The sequence below is a fragment of the Homo sapiens genome, chromosome 3 (genome assembly GCF_000001405.40).
Source record: "Homo sapiens chromosome 3, GRCh38.p14 Primary Assembly".
NCBI classification, from domain to species: Eukaryota; Metazoa; Chordata; class Mammalia; order Primates; family Hominidae; genus Homo; species Homo sapiens.
The window spans coordinates 45,878,285-45,904,371 of NC_000003.12; the positions used below are offsets into that span (position 1 = coordinate 45,878,285).

General features: G+C 44.2%; 2 protein-coding genes and 1 pseudogene across 17 annotated transcripts in view, besides 2 other annotated features; 1 reads left to right on the forward strand and 2 right to left on the reverse strand.

The window, feature by feature from the left end:
- LZTFL1 (leucine zipper transcription factor like 1) overlaps positions 1 to 26,087 on the reverse strand; it is a 92,409-nt gene that overhangs the window by 54,969 nt on the left and 11,353 nt on the right. The gene's annotated exons all lie outside the window — the stretch shown is intronic.
- Positions 2,005 to 2,161: a silencer, noted in NCBI's record as "fragment chr3:45921781-45921937 (GRCh37/hg19 assembly coordinates)". NCBI's record gives its function as "represses an EF-1alpha promoter that drives an FKBP-Casp9 reporter gene in an ReSE screen in HepG2 liver carcinoma cells {active_cell/tissue: HepG2}" and the evidence as "EXISTENCE:reporter gene assay evidence [ECO:0000049][PMID:32094911]".
- Positions 4,543 to 5,841, reverse strand: SDHDP4 (succinate dehydrogenase complex subunit D pseudogene 4; annotated as a pseudogene).
- Positions 7,275 to 8,274: a promoter, noted in NCBI's record as "1 kb fragment used in the pGL3-CCR9p reporter construct". NCBI's record gives its function as "drives Tax-transactivated expression of CCR9 in transfected Jurkat T cells or cadmium-treated JPX-9 T cells {active_cell/tissue: Jurkat(+Tax) | JPX-9(+Cd2+)}" and the evidence as "EXISTENCE:reporter gene assay evidence [ECO:0000049][PMID:17205512]".
- Positions 7,780 to 24,890, forward strand: CCR9 (C-C motif chemokine receptor 9). 5 transcript variants are annotated; one of them, NM_001256369.2, is made up of 4 exons: positions 8,259 to 8,371; positions 16,622 to 16,670; positions 19,277 to 19,362; positions 22,526 to 24,890. In NM_001256369.2, the coding sequence occupies exon 4, from the start codon at positions 22,541 to 22,543 to the stop codon at positions 23,612 to 23,614; it is 1,074 nt and encodes a 357-aa protein (NP_001243298.1). In that variant the 5' UTR covers positions 8,259 to 8,371; positions 16,622 to 16,670; positions 19,277 to 19,362; positions 22,526 to 22,540; the 3' UTR covers positions 23,615 to 24,890. The 5 variants fall into 5 exon arrangements, with proteins under 5 accessions (NP_001373377.1, NP_001243298.1, NP_112477.1 ...); NM_001386448.1 differs by lacking the exons at positions 8,259 to 8,371; positions 19,277 to 19,362 and adding an exon at positions 7,780 to 7,845; NM_031200.3 differs by lacking the exon at positions 19,277 to 19,362.

The following is a 26,087-nucleotide window of genomic DNA, read 5'->3' on the forward strand; positions in this document are numbered from 1 at the left end:
TTGCAGGGGCCTGACCTTTTGATGTGATTGTTTTGATGTGGCCATTTAGAAACTGAGGCTATTTTCATGTAGCTATTTTGATGCTGTGGAAATTTTCTGACTTTTCAAAAACTAGCCACTGAACTTTCAGCTTTTGAAAAAATGATCAAGTGTTAATATACTATAGGGCCAGGGACAGGGCAGGGGTTGGCGCTATGGACAAAGTGGGGCAGGGTGAGGCTGGGGGATGGGGCCCATTTCTAATGTAATTTCTTATTTAAAAAACTAAACATGTAAAGTTCTGATTTTTAGGGTCACAAAGGCCCTCAAGTAAAAAAAAAAAAAAGCCCCTCTATGAAAGACACTGTTAAGAGAAGGAGAAGACAAGCCCCAGACTGGGAGAAAGTATTTGCAAAAGACACATCTGATAAAGGAATGTTATCCATAATATACAAAGAACTCTTAAAACTCAACAATAAGAAAATAAGCAACCCAATTAAAAAACAGGCAAAAGACCTAAAGAGATACTTCACTGGGCCAGGTGCAGTGGCTCACGCCTGTAATCCCAGCACTTTGGGAGGCTGAGGCGGGCAGATCACGAGGTCAGGAGTTCGAGATACTTCACTGAAGAAGATATGCAGATGGGAAATAAGCGTATGAAAATACATTCGACATCATAGGTCATTAGGGAACTTCAGATTAAAGCCACACACCTATTAGAATAGCCCAGGCCCTAAACACATAGCACCAAATGCTGGTAATGATATGGAGCATCAGGAACTCTTATTGCTGGTGGGAATGCAAAAAGGTACAGCCACTTTGGAAGACAGTTTGGCAGCTTCTTACAAAACTAAACATACTCTCACCGTATGATCTAGCAATCGTGCTTCTCAGTATGTACCCAAATGAGCTGAAACTTATGGCCACACAAAGATCTGCACACAGATGTTCACGGCAACTTTATTCATAATTGCCCAAACCTGGAAGGAACCAAGATGTCCTTCAGCAGGTGAATGGATAAATAAACTGTGACACATCCAGACAATAGTTTATGTTATTCAACACTAAAAAGAAATGAGCTAGCAAGCCATGAAAAGACATGGAGGAGCCTTAAATCCATATCAGTAAGTGAGAGAAGCCCATCTGAAAAGGCTATATACTGTATGATTCCAACAAATACGGCATTCCGGAAAAGAAAAACTGGAGACAGTAAAAAGGTCAGTGGTTGCCAGGAGTAAGGTGGAAGAGAGGGACGAATAGGTGGAGTACAGAGGATCCTTAGGGCAATGAAACTATTCTGTATGTTATTTTAATGGTGGATACATGTCATACATTTGTCCAAACCCACAGAGTGTTCAATACAAAGAGTGAAACCTAAAGTAAACTACTTTGGGTGATAGTGATGTATGAGTGTAGATGAACTGATTATAACAAATGTGCCACTCTGATGCAGGATGTTGATAGTGGGAAGGTGGCACATGTGCTGCGGGAGCGGGTATATAGGAACTCTCTGTACCTTCTGCACAATTTTGCTGTGAACCTAAAACTGCTCTAAAAAACAAAGCCTATTTAAAAAACCCAACATTATTAACTGGAATTAATGATAAAAATATGTATTTAAAAAAACCCATAAGCACTTCTCAGTGAATAATGATGGTCATCACTAGAAATGTTCCCTGGGTGACGTTTAGTGTGTGTGTCCTCCTTCCATCAGGGGTGGCAGGAGGGAGGGATGTAAGCACCCTGAATCTACCATGATGCCTCCGTACAGGCAGAGGTCCAGAGAAGGGACAGTGACAGGCAGAGCTGAGGGTGGATCCTGCGGTGGCCTAGGCCAGCCCAGCCAAGGCAAGGCTCTCATTTAGACGTTTGGTTCTGGTGCCTGCAGAACCAAAGGTTTTGCTGTTTTTTTGTTGTTTCCCATGCAGCAATCAGTGATCTGTTAAAAATGGAAATCAGGCTAGGCGAGGTAGCTCAGGCCTGCAATCCCAGCACTTTGGGAGGCCGAGGTAGGCGGATCACGAGGTCAGGAGTTTGAAACCAGCCTGGCCCACATGCTAAAACCCCATCTCTACTAAAAATACAAAAATTAGCTGGGCGTGGTGATGGGCACCTGTAATCCCAGCTACTCAGGAAGCTGAGACAGGAGAATCACTTGAACCCAGGAGGTGGAGGTTGCAGTGAGCCGAGATCACGCCACTGCACTCCAGCCTGGGCGACAGAGCAAGACTCCATCTCAAAAAAAAAGGAAATCGGATCGTGTTATCACCTATATAAGTCCTTTGGGTAGCTTTCTGTACACCTGGCATCAGGTGAAAACTACTGGCCCAGCCTCAAAGCCCAACATGCTCGTGCCCCTCCAAATTATCTGGCCGCCCCTCACTGCAAGCTGTCCTCCTGCCTGTTGGTCTTTCTCATCCTTGGACACGTCAAATTCTTCCTGCCAACTGTTCCCTCTGCTGATAATGGCTGCTCCAATCTTCACATTGATGGGAACTTCTTGTCACTCAGGCCTTAAGTGTCACTACTGTAGTGGGCCTTTCCCAGACCATCCAGTGTGAGGGCCCCCTTCCCACGCCACTCCCTCCATCACCTCTGTCTGTACTGATTCTCTGCATGGCATTTGTCGCTATTTAATGTGCTCTGTCTTGCTGACTGCTACATCCAACCTCTTAGAACAGTGACAGCAAATAGTAGGAGCTTGACAAGTACATGTTGAATGAAGGATTCCAATGAGATCTTCCAATGAGATAATGCGTGTGAGGGCAGAAGGGATGATTTTTATCATTAATAGATGAGACAAATAAAAATAAAAAATCCTCTGACTGGTCTCATGACTCAGGTGCTGCAAGCACAAAACCTCAGGAGTTGAGGATGACACATATTTCCCTTATAAACAGCTTGTATTCTGCAGCAGCTTGGCAGCCACACCACTGAACTCTTGACCTCCCCTCTGAGCTGCAGTGGGGAATATCTAACGACCTGCTAGACACCTTCACTTCAACACCTCAGCCATATCACATCCAGTGCTACATGCATCACTATCTGCCAAAACCAACATTTCCTCCCACACACTTGCTCAGTTAAAGATACCCAAGTCTTCCCACAGCCTCCAACTGGTTTTGTTCTCTTCCTCCTGCAACATCTCATCATTTGGCAGCTCCTGAGGGGCACTTGGCCATGTCTGTCCTGTCCCTCCCATTCCTGCTGCTGCTGCAGGGTGCGGGCCCCCTCCTCCTCTCTCTCTCTCACTCTCTGAGAATTGCCTCCTAGCTGACACCGCGACCTTCAAGGGCTATTCATGGTAACTGAATTTAGCAAAAATGACTACTTTCTCCTCATTCCTGTCCTTTAAGGGTTTTGATTACTAACTGCGACACACGAAGAATGTGTAAAAATACTTTTAAGGGACCTTGCCCTTAAAAGTATCTACAGGTATTCTAGAAAACCAGTATAGCTAAAGCCTGCCCTGGCTTGAGTGCTACTGGGGAAGGAAGAGCTCAGCCTCACACCCTTCACCCCCTTGCAGAAGGGAGTGAGTCTGCCACAGGCCAGCTGCCCTGGCTTGCATCATAATGTGAGCTATCTAAGGCTAGAGCCGAGGTAGAAATATTAGCTGCTGAATAGCAGGTTGGTCTGGACCTGTACAATCCACTAGGGTGGCCACTGGCCATGTTGGCTGTTTACATTTCCATTTAAGCTAATTCCAATTAAATAACGATTTTAAAAAGATCACACTAACCACAGTGTCATGTTCACTAGCTATATGTGGCCACACACTGGACAGATAGCTATAGAATATTTCCACATTGCAGAAAGTGCTATTAGATGGCTCTATTCTAGATCCTCAAGACTTATATCAGGTGAATTTTTTGCATTAATTTAGTCAGAAGATGTTTAATATTCTCCTAGAATGTGCTGCTGGGCTTCAACCATGGCCAGTATCCACATAGTCCCTTTCCTCATGGATTAGTGGGGAAAAAAGGGTCCTTGCAGACTTTATTCCTTGGAAATTTGGACCTAGGACTCTTTTTACCTGCACTGATCATAATGTCACCACCAACTACTAACTGCCTCCAGACACTTTGGCTTTCCAAGTCAAGATAAGGCGTTAATCAATGAAAAGTAGAAAGACAGCATTGTCCTCTTCCAAAGACCCCAATATGCTTTTGAAATATGACTTTCCCAGTATGTACAGGAGGCTAAGGAAGGAGGAGAACAAGATTACAAATCTATAGTAGTTTTCAATTTGGGGAACCTAAAAAGTAGAGGACTGAAGTAAAATTAATTTTTTCTGTGCCAGAGACTGTGCTAGATACTTGGTATATTGGAATGAACAAGAGGTAACCGACTTGATCATATATTGTAATGAACAGACTCAGCACTCCTGTTGGCCCCTGCAACAAAGTCAGCTTGGGTCTTTTCTCTGTTACAGGTATCAGCGTTGTGGATTGCTGTTTCTAGTCCACAGTTATTCCTGAAATGCTCTTCAGTTGCCAGGTACAGCACTTGGTCCATAACCCAAAGGGGATACTATTATTATTATTATTATTATTATTATTATTATTATTAACATTTTTTTAAAAATTTCTTTTCATAGAATGCATTTTTGTATTAGAGATTCCTCTAGTGGGAAAATAACAGTTTATTACTTATAGTTCTATATTTGTGGACAGATCGTTTTAGAACAAGTAAAACACATTTGAGAATGAAGTCTCAGTTTAGAATTTGTAATATTTTGATACTTCTACAAGGGGGACCTTGCCCTTAAACAGAACTTTGCTATACTCAGAAGCATTCCAAGCTTTTCTTCCTAGGATTTAGAAATTCATAATGTGAGATATCAGCATTTCCTAATTTTCAACTTCCCCTAGAATATGTAACCATCAGTAGCTGGTGTCTACTGAATAGAGAGGGAAGTTTTTGAAAATTAAACACGGTCTCATTTTCTGCAAAGTTTTTATTCATGAATTAACAGTATTTCTCTTTGCCCATTATTCCCAAGGCAAGTACAGAAGAAATTTGATCATGTAGTAATAGTAATAAAGCTGGATTCTCTTTAAGAGATTGATAAATTCAAAGGCAAAAGCTCATATATCATGTTGAGTTATATGTGAGTCTTATAAGAAGCTGGGAGGCAACCCCGTTAACTCACCAGAATACAGACCTCAGTCTCACAATTTCTTGGACATAATTCTTCTCAAACCTTTTCCTCAAAGCTTAAATTCTGAAAATAGTCTGGTGATTAAGAGAAGATGGCTGTCCACCAATGGATTTATCTGTTATTTCTTCCTTATTGTGAGTTGAATGGCGTGACAAAGTGAAGGCAAAGAGGCATGCATTAATTCTTCAAAGTATAAGTCAAAAAGGTCAGCGCTTCTACAATGTGGCAGTATCTTTGCAGATGCCCACATCATGATAGTTGAAAGAGCAAAGCCCAGAAAAGGCTAAAGCTGAAAGTGCCAAAAGGCCTGCCTTGGCAGCTTTCTGCAATGCATCCCCATGAACACAGTCAGGAACAACTTGTCCAAGGCCCCAAGACCATGAAGAGTGAGAGTTGCAGCCACGGAGTAGGCCATCACAGAGCAAGGATTCAGTTAAGCAGCTAGAAGCAGGCCCAGGAGCAAAACACTGACAATCCTCTCACTAGTCCAGTGGACAGATGCAGCCTTGGAACCAGAAAGGTGGCTCAGTGACAAATGAATGTGCTGCACTCCACGCCATTCTGGGGTAGGTTGGGTCCTGAAGAAATCCTGAGATCTGAGCAGGTCTGACAACTGGGGCTCGCAGGAACAGAGCTCAGCCTCCTTGGGCACCACAGAGGGCACTCAGCCTCTAGAGAACCTCCATCTCTTCCCTCAGAGTATGCTTATAGTGCCCTGTCCTCCAGAACTCACCTTTGGCAGGGTGAGAATGCAAGAGAGAAATAGCCCTTAGAAAAGGGGACCAGCAACCTTTTATAGTCACCCAGCTCTGAATTCTAGTTGCAAAGAAAGAAACACAGCAAAGAAAACAAGAGGATAGGGCTTTTTTCAGGAATGGACCTAAACTAGATTGCAGCAAAGGGAGTCACATTTGCACAAGCTCCTTTGAGAAAGCGGAAGTTCTCTCTATGACTTCCTTGCGTCTTCCCTTCTCCCCAGCCTCATGATCCTCTCTGCATCCCAGGAGAGGGCATGTGAGTGCTCTAGAGCAGCTCTTCCAGACCTGGATGGAAGAACCTACCTAAGCTTCCCCACCTCACCTGGACCACGGGGACCCGTGCAGAGGAGGGAATCTTCCCACACCGGTGCATTTACCCCTTCTCCTCTTCCCTGACGGCCAGCCTCACCTTCCTTCCTCCCCCGAGACTCACTCCAACGTCTAGGGGCAAGCAGTGTCTACCTTGTATGCTCTTACCTGATGAGGAAACAGCCTGAGTCAAGAGAAGGGAGAAGCACAGGCTTTTCCTCACCCATGGCAATTGCAATAGTGCGTGTCTCACCTCGCTGCAAGCTTTCCAAGGACGCAATCAAACACGGGGGAGAAACAAATTCAGCCAAGAAAGTCAAGTAAGGGAACATCTTCTTCCCTCTAGCACCAGTTCCTTTTGTGTCTTTATTTGCCAAGTGAGAGGGAGGAGTGAGATGCCAGAGCATCTGGCTGGTTCTCAGCTATGTATAGTTTCAGACACCATTTATTTGCAATGAGCGCCCGCCGAGGGAAGGGAATTTCACGGCTCCCTCGCACCGCCGTTCCTTAAGGCTGATGAATCAGACACCTCTTTCGTTCTTACTGTGCATGCCCTCTACCTTTCAGATGACCTATTTGTTGGCCTTTTTCCATTTAGACAATAAACCCAAGTGCACCTTCTGCATCCCTTTGCTCTACGGGAACTGAGGGTGATGAAGGGGACATGCGCCTGGGAGTACCACGCCATGACAGAGCGGCATTGAGTCCTCGGGACAATCAATACACCAAGAGGTGGAAATTAACATCCACAAGAGTGTAGTCATGATTTTCCCCCAGAACAAATATATAAAAGGGATCTTTGTCATAACAATGACAGGAAATCATTAATCACATCAGGATTGAAGTCCCCACTGTAGCAGTGGATGGGAAGACTTCGTCTGTGATCTTCATTAAAAATGCAATATTTTGTATATTTAGCTTTTTTCAAAGTTTTACCAAAACACCTGTAATTAATACAATTTATTGTATTATCTTTGTTAATGTATCTGATGTGCAAAACCTTACTAGATTTGCCCCAATTTGAAGGTGTCTGTGGCTTTCCAGCACTCCATGTGTTCCTAGCTACATCTCACAGGCAGACTTTCTAAAGCAGTGCCTTTCAATAGCACTGTTGGCGACGATGGACAGGTTCTGTATCTGCATTGTCCATTGGGATAGCCACTAGCTGCATGTGGCTATTGAGCACTTGAAATGTACCTGGCATGACTGAGAAACTAGTTAACACTTAAAACATTTTTCTTTTTTGATACAGGGTCTCAGTCTGTTGCCCAGGGTGGAGTGCAGTGGTGCAATCTTGGCTCACTACAACCTCTGCCTCCTGATCCTTCCACCTCAGCTTCCCTGAGTATCTGGGACTACAGGCATGGGCCACCATGCCTGCCTAATTGTTTTTGTGTGTTTTGTAGAGATGAGGTTTCACCATGTTGTCCAGGCTGTTCTTGAACTCCTAGGCTCTGCCTAGTGATCTGCCCGCCTCAGTCTCTCAGAGTGCTGGGACTACAGAGGTGAGCCACTGCACTGGCCCTAGTTAGCATTTTAATTAATTTGAATTTAAATAGGCACATCTGCCTAGTAGCTACTGTGTTGGATAGCACAGCCCTCCGGGTTCTGGTACGTCTGTCAAGGCCAGAAAAGGTATGTTGCGATGGATAGTGCTACATCTGCCACTGGGTGGTAATCTGATACAGGCCTGCTCAGGTGACACCACCTAAAGAAATCTCATCAGTGTGCACCTCTGGCAAGCCTGACAAGGCTGACTTCTCTCGATGGGATCCTCCAATTTCCCCATTCCCTGTAAGCAGCTGTGCTGTCTAGGAAGAGAATTTGCTCTTAGATCATCAGTCTGTATGTGCGTCTTCAGATGAGACAGTTTCCCCTTATCCCAGCAGTTTTCAGCTTTTTGTTTCTGGTTGCAAATGATTGACTCCGCTGATTGCTGGAAGCTACACAGGTGACTCCCCACCCTCTTGGGCTACCCCACCAGTGACAACACAGGCAGGGGTGGCCTGGCTTCCTTTCTCGTGTTGTTATCGGGTAGCTGCCTGCTCAGAACCCACAAAGCCTGCCCCTCATCCCAGGCAGAGAGCAACCCAGCTCTTTCCCCAGACACTGAGAGCTGGTGGTGCCTGCTGTCCCAGGGAGAGTTGCATCGCCCTCCACAGTGAGTATTGCTCTTCTTCTTGTTGCCCCCAACCCAGTGTCATCTTGGCCCTCAGTTGTGTGCTGCTATGATGGCTTCTAAAACCTGGGCTTGCACTCATTTGTTCAGAGGTCATGGGCACCAGGCACTTTTCTAGAAACTTCCAGGAAGGTAAATGGGAATTGGTGATGCCCAACCCAGGTTTCTTGTAGGGCGAGTAATAAAACTCCCTCCCCCTTCACATACATGAAGCTTAGGCTTAAGGCAGTCTGTGATTTATACCTTAAAGGAAGGAGAAGCAGGTGCTGGGGGACAAGATGGTGGCCAGGGGTAAAGGACACACCCATGAGGTCCTTGAGTCTGAGACACTGCCCCATGGAAAGGATTCTTTGTAGCAGTGAAAAACTGGAAACAAGGAAACTATGCATCAGGAGGCGAATGGTTAAATGAATTGTGATGTATCTAGACAATGGAATACACAGCAGCCATCCAATTCTATGATACGGTTCTATGTTGAATTGGCATGGAAGGTGATCCATGAAAGATGGGCAATTAGAAAGCAAGATAGAAGATTATATGTGTAGTCTGATTTCCTTTCTATTAAGTGCGTGTGTGTCTGTGTGTGTGTGTGTGTGTGTGTGAGGTTGTGTTACAGAGAAAAAGTCAGAAAGGAAGTATCTCAGAAACTTAACAATGGCTAAACTAGGAAAGGGTGCTTCAGGAGTTTTTATTTTCTATATTATGTATGTTGGCATTTTGGGGATTTTTTGTGCATTGTAAAAATACTCCTTTATGATCAGAGTAAAGCAAAAAGTTATTTTAAATGACTCATCAGTGGATGCTGGTTTGCCTTTTCAAACACACCTACCCTCTTTAGTTCTGAATTAGCTGTTACTCCATAGACGGCTGGCAAGTCCATCCAGAGAGTGGTCACTGTGTGCTGAACCGGAAGGGCTGTGCAGCAGCCAGTCTGTGGGATCCCATCTCCTTACTCCCTTTCCTGAACGAGCAAAAGCTAATTTACTATTTCAGCATCTGGAATTTCGGAGTCCTTTTCTTCCAATATCTGCTTATCTGTTCTGAAGCCTCTTTGTGTAGGCCTCACTCACAGGCTTGTGTTGGGAGCCCCTGGGCCCTGTGCAGCCCCTGCTGGGCGGTTGGCAGGCATCTGATCCAGGCATGGTGAGTGGATGGATCTGATAGATGGCTCAGAGACCCTGCCTCGTGTAGGGAACAAAAAGCAGAGCTATGAAAAAATGTAAGAGATGATTCAAGCTCCGTGTAGCAAATTGTACAAAGTTCAAAGTAAGGACCTGCATTCCTGACTCATGTTAGTATCTGATTTGATGTTAGTGCTGTAAGCATCAGAGGCTATAAGTGTGGGGAGATGCTGTGTGCACAATAACCCCATGCTGATTTTCATGTTGGCTACGTAAGAATGTTAGAGAATACAAAAATAGTGATTGGATAATAATAGGTTCCAAGCTAACTTTTCTAATAGGCACTTTTCTCTTTTGGAGAATTAGCAGCTCTCTCCCTTCCTTTATCTCCCAGGTCCCTGCACATACCCCATGCTTTCTGACTTTCATGCCTTAGTGCATATGTTTTCCCACCCTGGAGCAATGTTCCCTCCCCTCGTTGCATGTCTCCATGCTCTTCGGCCTTCAAGGACCCGCAAAAATGTCACCTCTTCAATGAAGCCCTCCTGGATTCTCCCCAGAGCTAAAGACATGACCTCCTTCTTCCAATTCCTACCACAACTCATAGCACTTTCCCTTTGTTGTTATTTGCAGCCATGACTTACTCAGTGTATTTGAATGCAAGCTTCTTGAGGACATGGATCATGTCTTACACATTGTTTAAGCCAAATAAATGTATCAGGTACTCAAGGCACATTGAATAAGTGGGTTCGATGGATGGCCCATGGCACCTGCAACAAGGCCTCACTGAGCAGCAAGGGAGAGATTTGCCACAGTGCTGAGTCAACTGCCCATCCACTCCCGACAGACCGCTGAGATGGTCCTCACTCTCAGTATGTTTGGTCATATGTGGGATTTTCCCCCCTATATTTTTCCCGCTTTCTCACTGGCAAGACAAAAATGAAAGCAAGCACTGAGACTTAGTAGCTGGGAGAATAAAATATTTGAGAAGTATTCTGACAAAAATGAAAGAGAAATAGATGGCAAGGCTGTCTGTGGAGGTTCTAGATGTGGGCTCTAGGGAGGGGTATGTCCTGTTTTTACTCTTTGGCTCTCTCCAAATTTTCTATGAGCCAGAAGCAGATGCATATTTTATAAACTGTAATATATTACATTCTATTATACACCATAATATATTACATGATATATACTATTTGTTTATTTATTTTAGAGACAGGGTCTTGCTCTGTCACTCAGGCTGCAGTGCAGCAGTGCAATGTTAGCTCACTTCAGCCTTGAACTCCTGGGTTCAAGCGATTGTCCTGCGTCAGCCAGCTGAGTAGCTGGGACTACAGGGTAGGCAACCATGCCTGGCATATTTTTAAATTTTTTGTAGAGATGGGGTCTTGCTCTGTTGCCCAGGCTGATCTCAAATTCCTGGCCTCAAGTGATGCTCCCACCTCAGCCTCCCAAAGTGTTGGAATTACAGGCATGAGCCATCTTGCCTGGCTTGTGTTTATATATTACCTTTAAAAAAAAAAATAAAGAGAAACCTTTATAGAAAGCTAGTGTACAACTTAGTTGCATAAAGTAGCCTCGGTGAATGTAATTACTAGACTTGCTCTTTCTGCGGTAGCTGGAGCAGGCTACAAGTTCCTCCTCTAGATGAGTTTTGTAAACAGGTGTGCTGAACGTTAGAGCATTGGGCTTCTTCTTCTTTTTTTTTTAAATCTGACAAGTTATTTTTATGACAGCTCTTAAAATAAAATTTTACACACTTGGTAAGATATTTAAATAGTTTGCAAAATCTAAATGAAAACATGAAAGTTCATTTTCCACTGGTCACAGTGGTTCAGTCTCCTTCCAGAAAATGTTTCGGTGCTGGTGAGCAGTGCAGTGTATGTCTTTTTCTATTTTTTTTTTTTTAAAGATCACACAACATAAGTCTTCCTACATGTTGCATTTTAATCTTATAGTCTTGAGGACCTCTTTTCTATCAGCATGAGGACCATCCTTGTTTATTGGCTACACATGGTTTATTGGATTGATGTGTCATAATATTACCAATTGCTGAATATTTAAGTTGTTTTCCAATTTTTGTTCTGCTCCAACATATATCCCTATACCTGGACCCTTGTGTTCTTTTGTGAGAATACCAGTAGGGCAAATTCCAAGCAGATGCGCTGCAGAGTCAGAGATGTTGTGCTTTGTAAATTTTGACAGATATGGCTTAACCCTCCAAAAAGATCACATAAATTTATACTCCTCACAGCAGTGTGGAGGCCTTTTTTCCAAACTCTTACCAATGTCGTTACCATCTATTGCTATTTCCAATCTGAAACTTGCTGTCACTCACTATAACAAAGCCATTCTTTCTTCTTTTTGTGGTTTCTTTCTTTGGGAATTTTTCTCAGGTATTACATGATTAATATTCAGTCCTTTCATGCAAGCAAAAAGGAGGTGACATAAGCCCTGGGTATTAGAAATATATATATAACATATATATATATTTATATAAATATATATATAACATATATATATATTTATATAAATATATATATAACATATATATATAACATATATATATATATAACATATATAAAGTGTTTTCTAATTGATATCTCAAAAATCAACCTCCGTATTCCCCAAGCTGTAATAAAATAAAATTTGCTGAGTTGAGGTCTTCCAAACTCAACTGGGCATTTTTCATCTGGGGCAAAAAAAAGAAGAGTAATGCTCAGCTCCAAAGTGGCTGCTTTTCTGCTTGCTGGGTGAGTTTCTTATTTCAAAACAGAGGCTCACTGGGCTTCTTGATGGCACCTGGAGTCATGCCAAGCAGGAAGCAATCACTCCACAGAGCTGAAGATGTCAGAACCGTTCAGAAATACTGCCTGGGGAAAGTTCTTGGTTCTTCGGCTTAGGAGGAAAGGGGCAGAATACAACCTTTCTGAAGAAAATGCATCTTTCATTCACCTGAGAAATATTTCAAAATAACTATAAAAAGAAGTTAGAAGCAGGTGAATTGCCCCACAGAGGGGAATGTTTAAATGAATTGGGGCACAGCCCCTGTCGGAATGCCAGGTAGCTGATGCCTTCACCTGTCTGAAGAATGTTTAATGATGAAAGAAATGTTCATAATCCGTTAGGTGGGAAAAAGAAAATAAAAGTTCAAAGTGTACGAATGCATAGAAACACGGCTGGGAGGGAAAACAACAGAAAGTTAAAAGTGGTTATTTTAGGGTAGGAAGATTACGGGTGATTTTGATTTTCTCCTCTCGGCTTTTCTGTATTTGTCAAATTTCCTGCAAACACGTGTGTTACTTTTGTAACAAAAAAAGTCATTTTTCAGATAAATGTCAGTGTTTTCCTGGCCCCCAGAGGGCTGCAGTGAAATTCGGTGAATGCCCAGGTGGCTGGGTAAGGTCACGGCCGGAGGCTGGGGCTACTCATTTTTATTTCAGACACAGTCCTGTTCCAGGCTTTCTTGTGTCTTAGGGTCAATTGCCAAAATATTTTTTTCTCTTCTAAAAATTTATTGTGAGTCTTACTTGTATCTAATTTCAAGCTCACTGAAAAGTGAAAAATTGTGTAAAGAATGCTTATAAACCCTTCACCCAAACCATTGTTTTCATTTTGTCCTACTGGCTTTATTATTCTCCTTCTCTCTATATACATATGTTTTCATTAATTTTTTGCATTTTTTGCTTATTTTTTGAATCCTTTGAGAATATGCCAAAGACACTGTTCTCTTTTGCCCCTAAATACTTCAGGGGATAATTCCTAAGAACAGGGGCATTCTCCTGTAAAACCACAATGCAGTCAGCAAAATCAGGAAATTTAATCCGGATGCAGCACTATCATCGAATTCACAGCACCTATTGTAATGCCCTTAATTTCCCAGTAATGTCCTTCACAATTATTTTTTTTCCCCACTCCAGGACCAAATCCAGGTTCTTGCCTTGCATCTACTTGTCCTGTCTCTTTAGTCTCCTTCAACCTGAGATGGTTTCTCAGTTTTTCTTTGTCTCACTTGACCTTGATATTTGGCCAATTACTTTGCAGAAAGTCCTTCATTTTGCGTTTTTCTGATGCTTCCTCATTCTTTGATTTAGGTTGACCTTTTTTCCAGGAATAAAGATGATGTGTCTTCCCTCCTCAACTCTTTAGGACAAATGTGACACTGGTTTGCTTCCATGTTGGTGGTATGGGGTTTGAAGACCAACTTAGCTGGTCTTCAAATCCAACACCATCAACATGTAGTTACATGTCTCCAAGGAGCCCTGGCTGTTTAGTGGAGAAAGATATTTAGATTCCAAGATCAGGGCACTAGGTGCTAATTATGCTGTGTATCATTGCTTTTAGGTCCTCTCAGCAGACAGAGACAGGAAATATGTATGTGAAACACACATACATATACATATACAAATTGTCTATCTATCTATCTAATTTAATCTTAAAAACATATGGGTATAAAGACATGTGAACATGTATGTTCATTCCAACACTATTCACAATAGCAAAAACATGGAATCAACCTAAATGTTCATCAACGATAGACTGGATAAGGAAAATGTGGTACATATACATCATGGAATACTACACAGCCATAAAAAAGAACAAGATCCTGTCCTTTGAAGCAACATGGATGGAACTGGAGGCCATTATCCTAAGTGAATTAACACAGAACAGAAAAACAAATGTCACATGTTCTCATTTATAAATGGGAGCTAAATGTTGAGTACATATGGACACAAAAAAGGGAATAACAGACACTGGGACCCCCTTGAGGATGGAGGGAGGTAGGAGGGTGAGGATAAAAAAACTATCTACCAGTCAGGTACTATGCTTATTAACCTGGGTGGCGAAATAATCTATACACCAAGCCCCCATGACGCGCAATTTACCTATATGACAAACCTGCACATATACCCCTGAAGCTAAAATAAAAGGAAAAAACCCACAAAAACAAACCAAAACAAAAAAAACCCACGTGGGTCCGTAGTGATCTCTCAAGTTGGCTACAACAGCACAAGGCACTCCAGTGCACTTTTGAAAAGCTACCAGCAGAGAGGTTACCAGGAGGAAGTTCTGGTTGCTTTCCTCCTCAGGGCCTGCTGACAGCCGGAGATGACACTGAGAAGTGAAGTGCCAGAAGGTTTTCATCGTACTTTGCTTTTTCCTGCCTTACTTGAACAGCTTTATTGAGGTCCAATTATAATAAACTGCAAATATTAAAATGCAGAATGTAAGTTCTGACGTACATACACCCTTGCGAAGCTCTCACACAACCCAGACAGTGAACATATTTATCCCCCACTGAGGTTTCCTTTGTACCCACCTGCCCTCCTGCCCTCCCACACTCCCCTTCCCTCTCTCTCTCTCTCTTTTTTTTTTTGTTTGAGATGGAGTCTTGCTCTGTCACCCAGGCTGGAGTGCAGTGGTGCAATCTTGGCTCACTGCAACCTCTGCCTCCCAGGTTCAAGTGATCCTCCTGCCTCAGCCTCCTGAGTAGCTGAGACTACAGGCGCACACCACCACACCTGGCTAATTTTTTGTATTTTTATAGAAATGGGGTTTCACCATGTTGGCCAGACTGGTCTCGAACTCCCAACCTCAGGTGATCTACCCACCTTGGCCTCCCAAAGTGCTGGGATTATAGGCGTAAGCCACCATGCCCAGCCACCTCCCCTTCTCTCTCTCTCTATTGCCAGGACATCAGTGATTCTGCTTTCCGTCAGTATAGATTAGTTTGCATTATTTAGAGTTTTATACAAGTGAAATCATACAGTATGAACTCCCTTTGGTCTGGCTACTTGGCATAATTGTTTGGAGACTTGTCCATGTTGCTGTGTGAATCGGTCATTCATTCCCTATTCCATTGGACGGATATTTCACAGTTAACTTATCCATTTACTACTTGATGGACATTTAGGCTGTTAGCAGTTTTTGCCTACCACAGAGTAAAGCTGTAATAAACACTCACATACTAGTCTTTATGGGGACATATACTTACAATTTTCTTGGGTGAATACTTAGGAGTGGGATGACTGGATCACATGGTGAGTGCATGTATAACGTCTTAAGAAACTGCCAGTTTTCCAAAGTGGTTTTACCACACATTATGCATTGGAAACCACTGTACTTTCAGAAAAGCAGGGTGGGGTCATGATGTTGTTATGGAAAGGAAGCCAACAGGTTGGCTTTATAGGATTTATGAAAGAGGCTATTTTTTTCGAGAACCTTGGGGTGTGATGCTGGACAGGTTTCCTTGAAATGTACTCGCTAAGGGTATAAAAGGAAATGCCCCAGCTCAGGCACAGACTTCGTCCTCGAAGGCAGTCAAGCTGTTGTTTCTTTGGTTATGTAGGGGTGGGCTTTAAAGAAATTCAAAACACATGAAAATGACAACTCGAGATTTATTTCAGTCAGTTCCGAGGCCCTGTGCATTAGGGAACTAGAACTCATTTTCTTCAGTACACAAACCTAGGACTTCCTTTTCCTGCTGAAGTCAGGGTAAAGAGGAGAAAGGTGGGTTCTGGGGGCACCGGGTCTTTTAGGGAGGGGCCCCAACCCCAGTGGGCACCACCCAGCCCTCATGTTCTTCTTGCCACCTGGTTACTCAAAGGCCCTTTTCCTGGGGAGTCCAGAGCCCAGGGCATTCTCAAAGCGACCACTGTCCTGTTAGCTTCGGTGAGTCCCTTAGCTGATAGAGCAGGGGGAAGGGGAACCAGTCAGCAAAACAGGACTTGACAGACAAGCTGAATCAAGGGAAAGGGAGCTAATGTAGAAAGGATGAGCTGGGAAAAATGTAACAGCCCACCTGCCATTCCTCATTTGTGGATGGGAGATGTACTAATTATTGTCTAAGTAGAAAGAAAACAAATGCTAGAATCAGGTGACCCTCAGAGTCAAAGAAGTGAATGATAACTTCAAAGGAGAGGTTCATTCATTTCTGTGTGGACTACTCAGATGATTCTGAAATCTAGAATACTATATAGACTCTAACTCCTGCTTGGAATATTTTTTTCAGAAGAATAAGCAGATTTAAAATTTAATCTCCATCTTTTTGGCATTTGGTTGTTACTATTCGTTTACAAGCCAGTCCACTTTTTGATTTTTGTCCCTTTTCCAGGAGCAGGCTTGCATCTGACTGACCCACCATGACACCCACAGACTTCACAGTGAGTACAGCCGTGCTCCTCTGGCTCCTCAAAACACACACTCATCTTCCCTTTTTAGGGGGTGTGGGAAGGATCCACTGTGGGGGAAGGATTTATCTGTGTGGTTTCCCAGGGTAAGATCTCTGCCTGGCAATGCGCATTGCTGGGTAGGTTGTTGTCCAGCACAGAGGGTTTTGCAAATGCAAAGAGGCAGCTATGCTTTGGGGTATGTTGTGGAGACAGAGGAAAATGTGGTGTTATAAACAGCTAAGGATTTTTAACCATCTTTAACTAGGGTGTGCTTAGTTCCATATGCCTGTTCTAAAACTCAGACAAATGAGGCAAAGGGAGAATTCATGTAATTTGCTTTTAAAAAACCCATGGTGGGCACATTAGTTGTATTTCTTGCATAACATTATGTAGACCTTATGAAAACACGTAACAGTATACATTCCCCTGAAAGAGACCAAGAGCTGAGCAAAAATTAGTGAGTCAGTCTGGGCGTGGTAGCTCACGCCTGTAATCCCAGCACTTTGGGAGGCAGAGGCGGGCGGATCACCTGGCCAAGGCCAGGATTTCAAGACCAGCCTGCCCAACATGGCAAAACCCCATCTCTACTAAAAATACAAAAATAGCTAGGTGTGGTGGCATGCGCATGTAATCCCAGCTACGTGGGAGGCTGAGGCACGAGAGTCGCTTGAGCCTGGGAGGTGGAGGTTGCAGTGAGCCAAGATCACGCCATTGCACTCCAGCCTGGGCAACAGAGCGAGACTCTGTCTTAAAAAAAAAAAAAAAAATCAGTGAGTCAAATCATAATCCAGAGAATCTTTTTTTCTTTTACAGCCGAATGTAATTAAGTGTAGAATCAAATTAATTTCCCATGCTTTTGTAACATTCATAAATGCCTTATAAAATTACCTAAGGGCTTTGATTTTGCTCTTCTCCAAGGGAAAGCCTGGGTTTTACATGTAGATAATTGAAATCCAGACTTCCTAGCAGGCGGGCTAACAAACTGCCTCACAGTACATTGTGGGTTTCCATGATCTATGGAGAGTGGTGGTTGAAACAGTTTATCAACTAAATTATTTATGATATGCTAATGATTCATTAGTATTACATATGTATAGTTACCTAATTGCACCTATATCCATAACAACAAAAAAGTAATTAATTTGGTCCTGGTGAAGTAACTATTATTCTGACAAAAAGTAGACTCTTCAGTTTCTCCTGCATTAAATTCACCTTTCAATCCCTGAGGCTGTGGAAACAGAAGTAGATGAAGGCAGCAGAGCCAGGGCTGCTTCTGAGCTTGCCAGTCATTTGCTTTTATCATTTGGGATCTTGGATAATAGCCAACTCTGCAAAGCAGCCCCAGATAAGAAGGAAACTGCACCTCAGTAATGACCTGCTCTTGTCAGAGGAGTCTGGCGCCATCTAAATGGGAAGAAGATGGGACCCCTGTGGCCCTGACTCCCATATTCCATGGAAAGTAGCCGTGGCACCCTGTGGCCACCTTTCTGAGGATGTGCTGGGCCAGTCACCCATGCAGGTGCCCCACATTCCCTCAGCGTCACAGTAAAGGCAGAGTCCTTTTTACAGATGAGGAGACCGAGACTGGGGAAGGTGGTTTGAGGGTTCAAGGTCTCATAGAAATTTGGAGGAATAGCCCTTGAGGGGTGCTGTTGGCAATCATAGCTTTGCTGGGTTCCTCCCTCAGGGTGAATGTCAAAGCACTGAAATCCAGGTCTCAATGTTGGGATTTAATACTTTCTCAAGTGTGGGGCCAAGGTGTCTGCCAGAGTCCCTGCTGATAACAAATTCATTTTTTCCCCACCTCCCTCCTTCTTGTGCCCTCTCTTATTCCATCTCCCCCATTGCCTTGTGCCCATTCTTGGTGCTAAGGCACAATGGAAGCCTTGGCAAGCACAGTCCCTGCCCTTTCTCTGTCCATTCCCCAGAGAGGGGCATCTTGAGCCTGGGTTTGGCTGAGGATTTCCAGAGAACACATGAGCCAGAGAAGGAGGCCCTGGAAAGCTCTGGGACCTTCTTCCTGCTCTGGGTGTTCACAACTGGGACGCCTGGGCTGCTGCTTCTGAGCCCAGGACTCCTGAGGGAAGAGGACGTGCCTGTGTGGGAGCAACAGCCTGTGGGCTCAGAGGCTTGCCAGGACACAGACAGGCAGGATGGGCCCCTTGCCCTGGCTGTGCACTGAGGTTTGTTTACATTTACTGAGGGATTTCCAGAGGATTTGATGTCTAAGATCCATCAGGCATGTGCAAAACTATGAGTGTGAGTCATGACACAGGGGGTGTTGTTCCAGGATTCCTCTCGTGGTCCTGACAAATTTTATATAAATCTAGATTTGGGGTGTAAAATTCAATCACTTAAAAAATATGCCTGGGGAGTCCCTAACCTAACTAACTAAGTAACTTCATGCAAAAGCACGAGGTCCTTAATTCTCACCCAGCAGAAAAACTATGCCCCCTGGGCTTCCAGCAGGACACAATGTCCTTGTCTGGGATTCAGTCTTGGGAGTGTTAGCTGTGCCTGCTCACCGGGCAGTGGAGAAAGCTGGGTCACCCAGGTCCTGGGATTTCTGCACAATTTCTCCCATTCTGCTCCTGCAGTCTCCTCCAGGCCCCGCTCCAGATCACCTTCCCTCGCTGGCCCAGGAATCCATCTCCTTCCAGGACCTTAGCCCAGGACTAACACAGCTAAGTGATGCTGGCCTTCCCACCTGCCCCCTCTCATTTGTTCCCCAGGAACCAAAGTCGTCCCTTGTGCTTGTCCTTCTGCCAAGCATGCCCTCTTTCCTCCCTTGCCTTCTTCTTTCTTCCTTGTCTGTCTTCCTCTTAACATGTCTTTAAAATCCATGCTGCTCCTCGCTACCTGGAGCTGCAGCAGGAGGAGAGCAGGCTTGCTGGACCGGAGAAGCAACTCCAGGCAGCAAGACCCCTGGGCCCTCATCTGTGAGGCTGCTTGCGATTTGCTTCACAGCCGTGGGCTCAGGCTCATGTGAGAGTCTATTAAAGCTATTTGACCAAAAAAAAAAAAAAAAAACACACAAAACACAAAACACCAACCCACAAATAACAAAAAAAAAACTTCAAAAGCAAGTTTAGCACTTATTCATTGTGTGGATTCACAGTCGGTACTTGCTCATCTGCATTGTTTTACTGAGATTCCTCCAAAAGGTCATCCTCCCAACCTCTTAAACCTGCTGTGATGTCCACTGTGGGGTCTCCATGCTCTTCACAGTCTTCCTTCTATTCTCAAGTTCTTCTTTCACTCAAAGTCCACTCAAACCTCACCTCCTACAGGACGACTGTCTTAGTGGGGCCATGATTGCAGCTGGTTCCCGTGTCCAGCGTTGGGAGGATTCTCCTGGCATGTTTCTAAAATGTGTGTCACCTAGGAGGTCTGTCCTCTCGAGAGACTGGGTTTCCAGACAAGGGCCAATGCTAGAAGAAACATCTCTAAGTGTAAACTGAAATGGATTAATCAAGCCAAGGGACTAATCACATATAAAATAGGGAGACGAGTTTTCTTTAGTTCTTTGCGTTTGTGGGCCATTTCCAGCTGCCCTGGCCTGAAGAGCCGCCTCCAGGATCCTGCTCCTGGGTCCCTCTCTTTGCAATAGGATTTTCTCTTGCTCACATATTGGAGATGGAGTCAGGACTAGATGTCAGATTTTCCCAGTTGTCATCCAAGTTACCTTGGGTCCTCCTGCTACTTCCTGCCAGCCAGGGCCCAAATAGGACTAACATCTACTGTCCTTTATCAATCAATTCAGTGAGCCCTGATATCTAAGAAGCCCTCCACAAACACACACACAACAGGTTCTATGTTCCAATAAATTTAGAAAACATTGTTAAACAAAATTCAACAGATTCTGAAGGATTTCTCAGAGTCTTTACTGTGCTAATGTGCAATTAAAATAAAACAAGTTCTGGGCCGGGCATGGTGGCTCACGCCTGTAATGCCAGCACTTTCGGAGGCCAAAGTGGGTGGATTACGAGGTCAGAAGTTCGAGACCAGCCTGACCAACATGGTGAAATCCCGTCTCTACTAAAAATACAAAAATTAGCCAGGCATGGTGGCACACGCCTGTAATCCCAGCTACTCAGGAGGCTGAGGCAGGAGAATCGCTTGAACCTGGGAGGCGGAGGTTGCAGTGAGCCGAGATGGCGCCATTGCACTCCAGCCTGGGAAGCAAGAGCAAAACTCCGTCTCAAAACAAACAAACAAATAAATAAAACAAGTTTTGTAGGACTTTTCAGATCCTTCAATGTGCTCAGGAGTATTGTGAATTTCAAAGAAGGAATATGCAAAGATTCTCAACTATTTTAACCATTAGTGTTCCACCTAAAACATGGTTTGGGAAATGCTAGACAGATCTACTAGAAATAGATGGATATTACAATGTATACAGATAGGGAGAGCCCAGCTAACAGGAGGTAGAGAATATTTTGCTATTTAAATATAAACATTCAAGTACACAAAATCATCTTTGTACTTATATATTTGTTAATATTAACTGTTCAAAACAAAATAAAAACTTATTGTGGATTTGGGGTGACTTCTAGTCCAAATGTATCCAGATGAATTGAACTATTGCATTTGCCTCAGGATAAATAAAAGTAGAGATGAGATTTGGCAAGGAATGTCCCTCAAGGAAAGGGAGTGAGAGCTGGTAGTCCCTGGTGGAATTTGGGAGTCCTAATGGGAGCCCTCAGAAGGAAACTGGTGGGAAGTGAGAGCGCTTGAAGATCTGTGGGCAGAGGTTTTGGAAGGAATGTAGCAGGCATGGCACGGACTCTCCCCTCCTCCTCCATCAGCAGTCCACATCCTTCATTACCTCCCACCCCAGGTTTGACTCAAGGGCTTACATCTCAGGGTCTCATTTCCAGACCTCATTTCCTGTTTCCGTAGCAGGGGTTTTAGGATGGCTTCTGCTTCAGGAACCCAGAAAAAGTGTAAGAAGTGTGTGTGTGTATGCGCATATATGTGTGTATATATGTGTGCATGCATGAGTGTGTACCTATGTGTATGTGAGCATGAGTGTTGGCATGTTTGTGTACGAGAGCATGTGCAAGTGCATGTATTATGTGTATGCATGTACATATGAGTGTGTGTGCTTGTTGGGGCCAGCTTCATGGCTGTGCAACCCACACAGTCACATAGGGGCCCTGTGCTTAGAAGTGCTGCTTGTTTGATTGAATGCTGGATGTGTTGAAATTCCTAATAATTTTTGGACCACGGGTCCTGCTAACTATAGAGCAGGTCATGGTGCTTGTGTGTGTATGTAGGGTTGAGAGTGTCTGTGTGTGTATGTGTATGTGCATGTGTATGTGGGTGTATGCTGGTGCTCCCGGAGCTTTCAGGAAACTCAGGGGACTGGGATCCAGATGAGTTTAAGAGCCCTTGCTAACCTTTTTAGGGTCAGTGAAAAACTGAATAGATAGGAGAAGTACGATCACAGTCATATCACAGTTTGATAAAACTGCCCATCAGTAGTGTGGAGGCACTCTTACCCCATCAGAGCACTTGGCATGCACACTATAAATGTTCATTTGCGTGTCTGGTTGCTCTATGGGTAGGTAAGTTTCCTGAGAGTGAAGCCACACATCTGACTTATTTATTATGGTTTCTTTGGCACATAGCACAGTAGCCAACATACAGTATGTGCTTAATAAACATCTGTTGAATAAATAAATATGTCACAACCCAAGCAGATGTCCTCAGAATGCCTATGTGTCTTTGGCCTTATCATAGGTGTTTGGGGTTGGAAGGGTCAAGAGGTCCATGCCTCTGCCATCAGACAGGACCTTCAAAATATTTTCCTTGACCTAATGCCATCTTGTGTCCCCTTGCAGAGCCCTATTCCTAACATGGCTGATGACTATGGCTCTGAATCCACATCTTCCATGGAAGACTACGTTAACTTCAACTTCACTGACTTCTACTGTGAGAAAAACAATGTCAGGCAGTTTGCGAGCCATTTCCTCCCACCCTTGTACTGGCTCGTGTTCATCGTGGGTGCCTTGGGCAACAGTCTTGTTATCCTTGTCTACTGGTACTGCACAAGAGTGAAGACCATGACCGACATGTTCCTTTTGAATTTGGCAATTGCTGACCTCCTCTTTCTTGTCACTCTTCCCTTCTGGGCCATTGCTGCTGCTGACCAGTGGAAGTTCCAGACCTTCATGTGCAAGGTGGTCAACAGCATGTACAAGATGAACTTCTACAGCTGTGTGTTGCTGATCATGTGCATCAGCGTGGACAGGTACATTGCCATTGCCCAGGCCATGAGAGCACATACTTGGAGGGAGAAAAGGCTTTTGTACAGCAAAATGGTTTGCTTTACCATCTGGGTATTGGCAGCTGCTCTCTGCATCCCAGAAATCTTATACAGCCAAATCAAGGAGGAATCCGGCATTGCTATCTGCACCATGGTTTACCCTAGCGATGAGAGCACCAAACTGAAGTCAGCTGTCTTGACCCTGAAGGTCATTCTGGGGTTCTTCCTTCCCTTCGTGGTCATGGCTTGCTGCTATACCATCATCATTCACACCCTGATACAAGCCAAGAAGTCTTCCAAGCACAAAGCCCTAAAAGTGACCATCACTGTCCTGACCGTCTTTGTCTTGTCTCAGTTTCCCTACAACTGCATTTTGTTGGTGCAGACCATTGACGCCTATGCCATGTTCATCTCCAACTGTGCCGTTTCCACCAACATTGACATCTGCTTCCAGGTCACCCAGACCATCGCCTTCTTCCACAGTTGCCTGAACCCTGTTCTCTATGTTTTTGTGGGTGAGAGATTCCGCCGGGATCTCGTGAAAACCCTGAAGAACTTGGGTTGCATCAGCCAGGCCCAGTGGGTTTCATTTACAAGGAGAGAGGGAAGCTTGAAGCTGTCGTCTATGTTGCTGGAGACAACCTCAGGAGCACTCTCCCTCTGAGGGGTCTTCTCTGAGGTGCATGGTTCTTTTGGAAGAAATGAGAAATACAGAAACAGTTTCCCCACTGATGGGACCAGAGAGAGTGAAAGAGAAAAGAAAACTCAGAAAGGGATGAATCTGAACTATATGATTACTTGTAGTCAGAATTTGCCAAAGCAAATATTTCAAAATCAACTGACTAGTGCAGGAGGCTGTTGATTGGCTCTTGACTGTGATGCCCGCAATTCTCAAAGGAGGACTAAGGACCGGCACTGTGGAGCACCCTGGCTTTGCCACTCGCCGGAGCATCAATGCCGCTGCCTCTGGAGGAGCCCTTGGATTTTCTCCATGCACTGTGAACTTCTGTGGCTTCAGTTCTCATGCTGCCTCTTCCAAAAGGGGACACAGAAGCACTGGCTGCTGCTACAGACCGCAAAAGCAGAAAGTTTCGTGAAAATGTCCATCTTTGGGAAATTTTCTACCCTGCTCTTGAGCCTGATAACCCATGCCAGGTCTTATAGATTCCTGATCTAGAACCTTTCCAGGCAATCTCAGACCTAATTTCCTTCTGTTCTCCTTGTTCTGTTCTGGGCCAGTGAAGGTCCTTGTTCTGATTTTGAAACGATCTGCAGGTCTTGCCAGTGAACCCCTGGACAACTGACCACACCCACAAGGCATCCAAAGTCTGTTGGCTTCCAATCCATTTCTGTGTCCTGCTGGAGGTTTTAACCTAGACAAGGATTCCGCTTATTCCTTGGTATGGTGACAGTGTCTCTCCATGGCCTGAGCAGGGAGATTATAACAGCTGGGTTCGCAGGAGCCAGCCTTGGCCCTGTTGTAGGCTTGTTCTGTTGAGTGGCACTTGCTTTGGGTCCACCGTCTGTCTGCTCCCTAGAAAATGGGCTGGTTCTTTTGGCCCTCTTCTTTCTGAGGCCCACTTTATTCTGAGGAATACAGTGAGCAGATATGGGCAGCAGCCAGGTAGGGCAAAGGGGTGAAGCGCAGGCCTTGCTGGAAGGCTATTTACTTCCATGCTTCTCCTTTTCTTACTCTATAGTGGCAACATTTTAAAAGCTTTTAACTTAGAGATTAGGCTGAAAAAAATAAGTAATGGAATTCACCTTTGCATCTTTTGTGTCTTTCTTATCATGATTTGGCAAAATGCATCACCTTTGAAAATATTTCACATATTGGAAAAGTGCTTTTTAATGTGTATATGAAGCATTAATTACTTGTCACTTTCTTTACCCTGTCTCAATATTTTAAGTGTGTGCAATTAAAGATCAAATAGATACATTAAGAGTGTGAAGGCTGGTCTGAAGGTAGTGAGCTATCTCAATCGGATTGTTCACACTCAGTTACAGATTGAACTCCTTGTTCTACTTTCCCTGCTTCTCTCTACTGCAATTGACTAGTCTTTAAAAAAAAGTGTGAAGAGTAAGCAATAGGGATAAGGAAATAAGATCTCCAAATACCTTAAAACCATCATGGCTGACAACTTTTTATTTCTCCTCTGTCCAAACTTACTCCTCAGGCTTTTCCGTGTTAGTCAAATGGAATTTCCAAGGAGGACTATTGGAACAGCACAGTAAACCACCCCTGGCTTTGCCACTTGCTTTAGAGGAAGCATCTAATTTCCCCAGTGCCTTGTGGATCGCTGTGGTTTCCATTCCAACGCCATCCCTTTCCAAAGGGGAGACAAAAGCACTGGACCCTGCCATTTCACCCTTTTTCTCCCTGCCCACTTCTAAAGCACATGAGAATGAGGAATAAAGTGAGCAGACATGGGCAGCAGCCAGGGAGGGCGAAGGGGTGAAGCGCAGGCCTTGCTACCCCATCAACATGCTGCCCGTGAGGGGGCAGTGGGTGGGAAGAAAACATCGGCCTGGGACCAGCAGATCAACGTGGGCCCAGCACTGGCACTGCATCCGTAGTTAAAGGGAGGATAACTTCTCCAAGGTCACTTATGAACACAGCCATCCATTGACCATTTCCAAGAGGAGACCCAGATATTTACCCTTATAGGAACTTGAGAGAATAAAAAAGATGCATGAGCCACTTCTAAATAACATTGTGCAGTTAGGTGCAAAGAACACAGCTGAGTTTGGCTTTTATTTTTAGATACTGCGGTTCTGATGCTCTGTCATGGGAGTCCCAGTGGTGCTGAGCCTCACACAGGGCAGCCTCACCAGGACAATTATGGAGCCTTCCCAGGTGGGAGCCTGGGCAAGTAGCTTTGTGTGGACCTGTTCTGGTACATGTTTTAAATGCCCAGACTCCTCATCACACACAAATTTCTTGTGTGGGGTAGGAACAATATAATGAATTAATATCTTTATAAACATTTAAAATTAATCATTTCTCAAATATGTACTTCATGTGTCAGAGTTCAGCAGCTAGGAAACTTCTAGAAAATAAAGATTGCCAACCTTGACCATTGGGACATTACATCCTTTGGGCAGTGATGCTGTCCTGCTATCTACAGGCAGCCTGG

Excerpts from the sequence above, each read along its gene's own strand:
- CCR9 (NM_001386448.1), top strand. The coding sequence starts at position 16,650 with ATGACACCCACAGACTTCACA. Across the intron at positions 16,671-22,525 it reads TGACACCCACAGACTTCACA|AGCCCTATTCCTAACATGGC; the intron begins GTGAGTACAGCC and ends GTCCCCTTGCAG.